The sequence below is a fragment of the Homo sapiens genome, chromosome 3 (assembly GCF_000001405.40).
Source record: "Homo sapiens chromosome 3, GRCh38.p14 Primary Assembly".
NCBI lineage: Eukaryota > Metazoa > Chordata > Mammalia > Primates > Hominidae > Homo > Homo sapiens.
This window is the reverse complement of record NC_000003.12, coordinates 86256609-86268044: the sequence shown is the minus strand read 5'-3', so window position 1 is coordinate 86268044 and position 11436 is coordinate 86256609. Positions and strand designations below refer to the sequence as shown.

General features: G+C 31.1%; 1 long non-coding RNA gene across 3 annotated transcripts in view; it reads left to right on the top strand.

The window, feature by feature from the left end:
* Window positions 1–655: 655 nt before the first annotated feature.
* LOC102723364 (uncharacterized) overlaps window positions 656–11436 on the top strand; it is a 62178-nt gene continuing 51397 nt past the window's right edge. Inside the window, exons 1-3 of one of the 3 annotated variants that reach the window (NR_188544.1) lie at window positions 656–1049; window positions 3152–3235; window positions 8820–8901. This is a non-coding gene — a long non-coding RNA (uncharacterized LOC102723364). Of the gene's footprint in view, window positions 1050–3151; window positions 3395–8819; window positions 8902–11436 lie in introns of those variants that run through there. The other 2 variants (NR_188545.1, NR_188546.1) reach the window with 2 other exon arrangements.

The window sequence follows — 11436 nt, the reverse complement described above, 5'->3', positions numbered from 1 at the left end:
GAGAAAATATTTATGACCATGTTGTAAGCAAAATAGTCTTAGATGTCACACAAAAGCATGACTCATTACCCCAAAATTGATAAATTAGAAATTTATCAAATTCATATTTATTTCTATCAAAACAAACAAGTAAATATCAAAAAATTAAGTAACACAAATAGCAATAGCAAAACTGACAACACAAATATGGGTGAAGATGCAGAGCAACTCAAACTTTCATATATTCTTAGTGGGAATGCCAAATAGCACAGCCTCTTTAGGAAGGAGTTCAGTAGTTTCTTATAAAGTTAAACATGTACTGACTATATGACTCAGTAATTTTGACTGTGTATGTAAGCCCTAGAGAAATGATAAGCTCCAAGTGAATGTTTACAATGGCTTTATTCTTAATTGCCCAAAATTGGGTACAACTCAGTCTTTCTTCAACTGGTGAAAAAATAAACACTTCATGGCATATTCATGTGATAAAACACTAGTCAACAATAAAAAGAATAAATTATTATTACATACAACATGTATAAACCACAAATACATTATAAGTAAAATTATGCTAGACTAACTTGACTACAAACCATGTAAGTCCATTTTTATGCCATTCTAGAAAAAGGTAGAACTATAAGAATGCACAGTTCTATGGTTGCTAGGAGTTAGGAGTAGGGAGACTGATCAACTACAATGAAACCACACAAGAAAAAGTCTTGGGTTGATGGTGCTGTTCTGTATTTTTATTATGGTTGTGATTACATAACACTATGTACTTATCAGAATTTATAAAACTACACAAAATCGGTAAATTTTACAGTAGGTAAAATTTTAAAATTGCATCTTCTTAGCAGTACCTGCTCTTTCATAAGTTTTCTAGCTCCATCTTCTTTTCCATTTATTCACTGAAAAAGTAATTATTAGTGGCTACAAGTTGCCATACATTGGAATTAGAGATAAACATTAAAAAACAAGATGAAAATATGTTTGCTTTCATGGAGCTTACTATCCACTCAGAGGAAATAGGAGTTACGAAGGAAAATGTATAATGTCGTCTGATGATACAGGTTAGTAAGGGAAGGGATTAACAGTGTGGTTATATTATTACAGAAGATGGTCAGGGAGGATGTCATTGGCCAGAGAAAACTTCACTGAGAACATAATATTGTAATTAATATTGCATCATCATGTACTCTGTATCAGTCACCTCTTTCTTTTTTTTTTTTTTTTTTTTTTTTTTTTGAGACAGAGTCTCGTTCTGTCGCCAGGCTGGAGTACGCTGGTGCGATCTCAGCTCACTCCAACCTCTGCCTCCCGGGTTCAAGCGATTCTCCTACCTCAGCCTCCTGAGTAGCTGGGATTACAGGCGCCCACCACCACCCCGGCTAATTTTTGTACTTTTAGTAGAGACAGGGATTCACCAAGTTGGCCAGGATGGTCTCGATCTCTTGACCTCGTGATCCGTGTGCTCTTCAGACAACTGAGATACAGGAGAAAAAAAATAAGTGTAAAAATATAAATGTGTGTATATATACATATATATGTATATATATAGCATGATAATAATGTAGAAAAAAATCAATAAATGGTAGAAGATGCAATACCTAATGTTTAAATATAGTACTTTTACTATATTTTTACAAATCAGACTAAAAATAAGTTTGAAATTCATAGCCATACTTTGTGCTAAATGGCCCTGAAAAGTCTCAGATAGTCACATCTCCTGTTATTAGGAAGCAGTGGTGTAGAAAGAAACAAGGTGTTTCAGTGAAATATATGGACACTTTGACTGCTGATATGACATTTACAAGACTAGAAAACAATGTGATATTTTTATATTGTTGCATGATAATCCTGGCGGTTGGCACTAATATTATCAGGCAGTCCTATTAAATACCTATGAATAAGAAAAAGCATAAATTCAAAATTCAAAATAAGAATCAAGTCTTTATTTTGAAGAAGCAAAAGTCTTTCTTAATGTGCTACTGAAAAAACTGTAAATATCAAGATTCAAAGGCATTAGAAACATGAACCTCAACCCGAAGACCAATATAAAAACGTGAATTAATCATTAATTTTTTTAATGGATGCAATTTGATGTTGTCAATTTTAAGAAATTATTTATTTTAGCTATAGATACTTGCTACTATTTTATCATAGTATAGCATAATTCTGTTAAAATAAAGTATGTTAATGAATGTCACTAAATGTATTAAATGTTCATACATCCTATTGACATGTTAAAAATGGTCTTTGCGTTTAAATTTCAGTGTATTAAATCCTTTTGGTTTGAATATTGTAGTATAACAGTAAACTGGTCAAGATAACTCTCTACAAAATATTTGTACTTGTTATTTACAATCTTTTAAACACTATATTCATTAAGAGTATACATATAAATTTATGCTTTTTAAGATTAAAGTATAAAAGGTAATTTACCCTCTTCTCAAAAAACAAAAACTGAGGCTTCTTGTTACATAAAGTGGGCATTGCACTGGGTCCTATATCTTCATTGTTAGGTAACAGGCACTTTGCTATTTAACTGCCTTGAGGATGCTTCTGGCTTTACCATTTCTATTCTGTCTGAACGTTGCCTCATTTTGATTTTCATCTTTTTCTACTGAGATTAAATTTAATCTTTTACTATTAGCACCTATATGTGCTTGAATGGAGGCCCATAAACTCCTGGCTCTTCTATTTCAGATGTATATGTCTCCTTTACTTCGTTTAATTTTAAAACATCATATTTATTTCACTTAGTCATGCATCAACTGGAATATTAAGTTATTTAAAAAGGCAAAATAATCATACAGATCTCATTTTCACCCATTATTTTTTGATCACACAACCCTTTCTTCTTTCAATGCCCATAGCTTTCTTTCCTATAAATTTGAGTCATAACATATATGTGCATTATTAATCTCTGTGTGTTAATATGTTAAGTTCCTAGACAAATATTAAATTATTTAAGAACAGAAGCAATGTCTTATATTTCCTTACACATTACCCCCAAAAACGTGCTAATTAATTTATTTAAAAAAGACATGGCAGCATAATGAACATATCCATATGCACAGATTTCATTTGCCTTAATGCAATAATCATTTATTGAGCACAAATTCTGTTATTCATATTTATATTTATAAATATTTTCTTTATTCATTTTCAGGGATATTATAACCAATTAATGGAAAGAAACATTTAAGACAACACCTTCCTCTATGTTTACATCAGGATGCATTTTTGTAATTGAGTATGTATATTAATTATATTACAACAGACAACAAGTATACCACAAATAATTCAACAAGTTGAATTTTTACATCCCATTACTGTAAACTCACATTCTTAAGAGGATATAAACGTCATGTTATGAACATACACCAATTAAATTTTCCCTACATATATCCAACATCTTTTTAATGTCACTTGCTTTATTACAATCTACACTCACTTGTTATTGTGGCCATTACTTTGCTGCTGCTTAATAAAGGTCTTGTTCTTATTAATTTTTATGATATCCTTCATTGAGAGAATTAATTTTCAAACACACACAAATACACACTTAAGGATTCTGTACTAGTACTGGTACTTGTATGTTTTAACAAACTTGAATCCTTTACCGAAAATATTGTATAGTAATATCAGAAATCTTATAAGTGATAATATAATTTTTACTATACTAACAGAAAATAAAGAATAGTTGTTAGAGACCTGAATTTTGTATACAGAGCTCAGTTTAAATCCCATTTTAATTATTAATTACCTATAACAGTAGGTAAGTCATACTCTGGCTGAGCTCCTTCATCTGTAAAATTAGTGTTTGGAGAGGGAAAAAGATAGATTACTTAAAATGAGTTTGAAGATGACTACCTAATTATTTGTGAGAAAATAAACATGGATACCAAATGCCTTAAACCAAAATAAATCCCTTGTGTTTAAAGATTTAAATCTAAATACAAAACCATAAAGTAACTAAAATTATTTTACTTTGGTTATTATATATGTATATTTTAGAGTTGAGGAAATCCTTTATACCCATGATGAGAACCCAAAAGCTACATAGAAAAGAATGTATTTGATAAATGTGACCACACAACTTGTAAAAAATCCTTTAACAAAATATATACAATTTTAAAGGACAAAAAATAAATTAAATTAAATATACAGAAAATAAAATGAGCAAAAAGCATCTAATGTCCTTAATATGTCAAATGCTCTTAAAATCAGTGATCAAAATTTTAAACTATAAAAAATGAGCACAATATTGATAGCAGTGAGATAAAGACATCAAGAAGTGAAAGAAATCTATTAAAATATATTTAAGTATATTTTAAACATGAATAAGATGTTTAAAAATGCTTCTCTGTCTTTTAAATATAAATCATTTGGCAAAACTTTTGCCCACTAAAAGCATCTGGAAATTGGAGATAAAATTATTTTAGAATCATAATTTAATTCATAAAGAAGAGTAAGAGGAGGAGGAGGAGGAGGAGGAAATAAGAAAGAGAAAGGAAACACAAAAGTAGAATGGTAAGAATGTAAGCAAATACTCTCATTACCCAGGGAAGCATATATTGCCCTAGGGAAGCTAAAGGATTAGTTTTGACTTTATACAGGTAGATGAAAGGGCCATAAATCTGTAAAGGATGAGAAGTAGAAATGTGACCAACCCTTGAAGAGCTTACAAGTACGTAGATGGCTTGATGAGAAAAAGCAAAAACAACAATAACAATACCCACAGGGGGAGGGAAATACCAAAGAACCTTGTATCTTTTTGTTGAGAATTTGACGTGTAGCTGTGCCAGTGACACCCGCAGACAGGGCATGAAACTTTACAATAACTTTCAAGGTCTGGAAATCCTCAAGTTAAGAAATCAATGTAAAATTTTGTTCCAGCAGGTGTGATGGTTAATTTTATGATTCATCTTTGCTAAGTCATGAAATCAAGATATTTGGTCAAACTTCACAATGTGTCTGTAAAGGTATTTTTTTAATGGAATTAATATGTAAAATAGTAGACTTTGAGTAAAGTCAGTTGCCCTCCATAATGTCGATAGGTCTCACCTAATTAGCTGAAGGCCTTAAGAAAAAGCCCAATCTGCCTCAAAGAAGAGGGAATTCTCCCTAGAGACTGCTTTGGACTTGAACTGCTACTCTTCCTCCTTGGCCTGTGCTCCAGCCTGCTAGCCTGGTGCTTTTAAATATGAATAACATCAGTAATATGGTAATATACCCTATGTAATATTATAGTAATCTGAAATCGAACATAAAATAAGTATATTTAATATTATTACAGTCATAAAAAACATACTTGAATGCTTAAGAGGAAGAAAAACTACCAGGAAGATTTGAGAAAGACACAAATAGAACAATTACAAATAAAAATATATAGACAGTGAAATTAAAAAAAAACAAAATTAGATTTATGTTTGTAATACGTAAATTATAAATAGTCCAAAGATAATTGGATAACTGAGTCACTGCACTAATTAGCTAGAATGCAACAGAGAGAGACAGAAAATATCACAGAATAGTGAAAAGACATAAAGACATTAGGACTAAAATGAGATAATCTAACAAAACACTTAATTTCTTAAGGAAAGTATGAAAAAGAGGCCAAATGCGAAGATAACACAATAGCACACACATTTCTTATTACATCATGTATTCTTTGTCACACCACAGTGAAACTACATAATAATAAAACATACAAAATGCTATTGAAGCCACTGGAGAAAAAAACCACTTATTTGAAAAAAAAATCACACTTAGATTCAAACTTGAACCTCAATCACAGCATTAAAAGATGACCAAAAAAATCTTCAACTTACTAAGTGAAAAGATATATAAATCTAGATGTCTATACTTTGAGAAACCCACTAAAAACTGAGGTTGAAATGGAATTTCAAATGGTGACTGCATAATAGTTACTGTTTCTGGACCCAGGCCTGCTATTCAACAGGTATACCAGAAAAATTGTATTAGCTGTTAGAATACTGAAATAATTCCATATCAGTTGGAAATCTGCTGATGCACCAAATCTTGTGATGGCCTCTATCTGAATAACAGAATGAGACAGGAGAAAAAAATTAATTATATAAATTGTCAAACATTTAGTTAAAAATGAATCCAAAACTGACTGAATACAGCAGGAATATTATAACAAAAAATATTTCAATTACGAAACGAAGATGGAATTAAAACACTGGTAAAAAGTAACATGTAAGATAGAAGAAAATTTACTTTAACATCATTATAGTATCCTTAAATTTTTTAGTTAATTTTAGAGATTTTTAGTTTATTCTTTGCTAAATCAAGTATGCCAGTTAAAAAGAAATAAAAATTGACCACCAAAACCCACGTCTCCATAAATGGCAAAGAGTAATCAAACAGACCTAATTATCTGACTCCAGAAAAATTAAGAAATCAATAACAATAATAGTGATAATGTTAAATCATTCTATGGGAACTTACCTTAAAATGTACGTTAAAAATATTCAGAACTCAACCATGAAATCTCTACACATCAATGCCTGTAAAATGCAAATAAAGAATACATAGAAAGCCATTGTGGGAATGGTCCAGAAATAATATTGGCCTAAAACCAAATGGTTTATAAATGTAAATAAAATAGGGCTTGTAAAAAGCAAGTACAAATCATGTTGGAAATAGCATAAGTCAATGATTTTTTGGACAAAATATAATTATTCACAACTTACTTAAAAAGCTATAGGAAAATCTCAGCAGCCCTGTGCCATTAAGAAACTCAAGTCATTAGTTACAATTCTTCATCCTTTCTTACCCATCTTCTACAATAAATATTTCAAAAATATCTAAATCCAGCCATTTTACAAGGAAGTATCTGAAAGTCTTTTAGAAAAAGATATTTGTCTTATTCAAACTTAGACATTAGAAAACAAAAGGAAATATACCCAACTAATTCTTGCTTTGATATAAAAACTAGATAAGGACATTTTAAGAAAAATTGTAGGTAAGTTTCAAATAAAAATACAAGTGTAAAAGTTTTGTAAGAATATAATTTAAATGAATAAAATATTAGCAAATCATCACTAAGTCAAAATTATTTGAGGAATACATGATTTTATATTTAAAATATTTAAGAGACAAAGAGTACTATCAACTCATTAGAGAAGGACATCTCTTTCTATTTTATAGTAGTCAATGTCTCTTCTTGATTAAAGAAAAATATTTTATACAAGTAATTGTGGTAGGCTAAATAATGGTTCTAAAGATATTTGCATTGTAATTTCTGGAATCTATGAATTATACCTTTTATGGAAGACAGAACTTCTCAGAAGTGATTGAATCACACATTTCAAGATGGGGAGATTATCTAGATCATCAAGTGGGTCTTAAATGTAAACAGAAGTATCCTTATAAGAGGGAAGCAGAGGGCTTTATTACCATAAAAGAGAAGGTGATATGATGATGAAAGTAGCAAATGGAATGTTGTGTTTTGGCGATGGAGGAAGAGGCCACAAGCCAAAGTAAACAGGCAGCCACAAAAAGCTAAAAGAAAGGCAAGGAAATGGATTTTCCTACCAGAGCTTCCAAGAGAAACCAGCCTGCCATTACTTTGACTGTAGATGGTAAAACTGATTTAGAACTTCTATTTTTGGGGCTTTAAGACAATCAATGTGCATTCTTTAAAAGCCTGAAATTTGTGGTATTCTGTTACCACATCAATAAGTAACTAACACAGAAATATGTGGGTGCTTTGTATGTAATCTTGTGAACATTACAGGTCAGATAACAAAGGATGAACTGATCAGTGAGCATTCTAGGACAGGTGAAGATACCTTCAGATCTTCATCATCTCCAGATACCTCTTCATTTTGTTTATAAAAATTATGGGAGATGTACACTTATCAATAATAAAGGTTTATTACAAGCATATAAAACTTTTTAGATGAAAATAAAACAACATTTATGTCCTTGGGTAAGAAAAAATAAAAAAATAGCTTTATAAAGGAAAAGAGAAAATTCTGAAAAATGATCATTTTGCATCAAAAGTGCTATCACCAAAATAGACTATTTCTAGGTAGAGGAATAGTATCCAATACACACAAACATATACACACACGTATATACATATATTTACTATATGTGATATATTTTCAGTTAGTAAGGAAGAGGCAATGATGTGATGATGTGGGGAAAAAAGAAATATAAACAGGCCCCTAAAAAAACCCAGTGTATCCAAATAACCAATAAAATTTGAAAGATCCTCAATCAGATAGTGAATTAAGCAAATGTGTAATAAAACAATAATAATTATGTGCAATTTAGTCTCACTAGTTTGGCACAATTTGTGTAAAAAGAGTTGGTGAAGATGTAGACGCACTCAAATTCTGGAAGGATATAAATTAATACAAAAACTTTAAAGAAGAATGAGCAATACTAGTATAATTACTCTATGGCCGGGCAATTGTTTTTTGGCTATCTCATTTGTAAGTGAAAAAGTAAGAAACAACCTAAATAGAACTACCTAACTGCTCCTTAGTATGGAAATGAATAAACCATTCTAATGAGAATAAGTATTGTAATAGTACCAAAAGTTTCATATGAATGAACTATATCAAAAAGTATTAACATGACTAGGTTTCAAAAACCTAATGTTAAGTCAAAAACATTTTCAAAAGCAAATATACATTATGATTACATTTATAATTTTTTGTAGAATATACAAAATATTGTTACATATGTTTTGGTAAAAGTAAAACATGAGTGTGAATACATACCCCTATTAAATCATTCAATATTCTTTTGACATTTATTTATTGAGTACCTAAAATATGCCGTTTTCATCCTAGGGACTGGGGATTCAAAGTGAACATGAGTCACTGCCATAATGTTGCTTACATACTAATGGAGAATGAAGACGAAAAGATAACTGTAAGAAATATAATACGTTAAACAGAAAAAAATTCTTCAGGATAATGTTTATCTGAAGTGGGGAAAAGAAAGGAGAAAATATAGGGTCAGAATTAAACTGTATATGGAAATTCTATTTTCCAAAGGACATAAATAGAAAAAAAAAAAAAAAAAAACTAGAGACCTGAGACAGCAATGGTCAACTATTAAAATCATTTCAAACTTATCAGTACCTACACGTATTTTATATAATTTTTTGATATATTTAAAATGTTTCATAGTTTTAAAAATGTAAAACAAAAAGTGGTGCTGAAACTCTTTAGAATAATAAATATATACTTAAATGAATTATCATTTTTTTAAATATCTAGTGTTGATGAGAATGTGGAAGAGAATAAATGGTTATGCTTTTCGGCTACTCATTTACTAAAAACTATGAAATAGTACATACTCTGACTAAGCAATCCTTCCTCAAGTAATCTGCATTAGAGAAATAATACAAGGACAAATAAACTTCTGTGAATAAGGATGTTCACTTTTGCATTACCCATAATAGCAAAAACTGGAAATAACCTAAATCAAAAAGTGATTATTTAAATAAATTACGCCTCACAAAAACAATAGCATATTATGTCACTGTAGAATGAGATAGATCTTTAAGTACCAGCATGGAAGTCTGCCTGTGATTTATTGCTGAGTGAAAAAAAGTAAGTACCAGAACCATATGAATAGTGAGAAGCAATATTTTGCTTAAAAAATCTACCTATTTATGTATTCATAGAAAATGTCTAGAAGGATAGACACAAAACTATTTATAGTGGCTACCTCTGAAACCTGGAATTAGAATGGGTTTTAATGAGAATTTGTTTATTCTACCTTTATACCCCTTTATAGTGTTGAATTTCACTACTAATATTATTTAAAGAATAATGATATTAGAATGAGCAGTACCAGGTGAATAAGTTATACATGTGGGAAATTGATCACTGACCTTTCACTTTCTACTCCTGTTATTACTCATCATACTAATTTAGCAAAACTCCACCTCTAGTTAAGTACAACTCACTGCTTATTCTATGTCTGTATCAATACAGCTGAATATGCTTGGAGAAAAATAGCCAACCATGGTGCTGGGCACACTTTAAATTCATAATCACTAAACTTCCAGTGTGCCCTTTAGTGGTGCTAAACAATCAAACTGCTTTTTCCTAAATCCAATTAATACCCCATGCTCTTCAGAAAGCTATTGTTTTTCTATTTCTCTCCAGACTTCTAGCTCTGTCTCCCGAGTTATCACTCCCAGTAACCTTCTTTCCTATTTCACTGAGCAGGAAAAGAGCAATCAGGAAAGAATTTTCACCAGCTTCAACCAATCTACCTGCTCCATGCTCCTTCCCTTCTGTTATTATGCATGAATTATGTTCTGAGATCAATCCTTCCCATATGCATTTCACCCTGTTCTTTTTCATCCACAAAAAGGCATGACTTTAGTAATTCTTTTCTCATTCTGGTACATCATTATTAATTAATCTCTACTGAATTACTTCCAACAGCATATCAATTATCTGTAATTCTCCCTATTTAAAAAAATAAAATTAAAATACAAACTTCTTGGCTCCATATGTCTTTCTGACAATACTCCATTTCCCTGCTCTATTTTTAAAGCAAAAACTTTCAACGTTTAGTTCCCTTTATTGGTTCTCTAATTTTCTTTCTTCCATTTTCTCTGGAATTCATTGTGTTCAGCCTGTTGTCTTTACCACTTCATTTAAGATTATTCTTATGAAAGCTACCAGTCACCGGTTCTCAATTCTCCTATGACTTGGCCTATCTTAACATACTCTTGACTTTGCTTCCAGATCACTCTTATAGTTCTTTCCTACCTTCCTGGTTATTTCGTTTTCTTCTTGAGCACTTCTTTATTCTCTTGTCTTGCCATTGGAGGGCCTTAAGGATTAATCCTTTCTCCTCTTTAATTCTCTGTCTTCACTCGCTTGGTAATTTTATTCAGTCTCATTGCCTTAAGACCTACTCCATGCTGACAACCCCCGTACATGTATCACTACTTCAGACTTCTCTTCTGAACTCTATGTTGAGTTCCAGTTATCAATTCAATATTTCCATTCAGAAGTCTCATAGTCATCTCCCATGGTCCTTCCACCTTCTCCAGTCTTTGTTTTTGGTGTGTCTGTTTATTTTTTATAAACGGAAACTAGATCTTTTTAAGTGATTAAGCTAAAATATTTTTGCCATACCCACAGCCTGTTGTCAGAAAATACTATTGTCTCTATTTTCAAACATGCTCAGAAACTGACCATTTGCATTGTCTCTACCATGAACACCCTGGTTCCCACCATTGTTACTGCTAATCTGGATTACTGATATCGATTCCAACTTGTCTTTCTAGTCCTCTTTTCTCCCCTACTGCCTAGTCCCAACAATGTTCAAACTGTTTTCTTATATAAGTCAGATAACGTTATTTCTCTGCCCAAAACCCTCCAATGGCTTCCCATCTCACTTACAGTAAAAGCCAAGTTTTTTTTTTCAATACCCTAC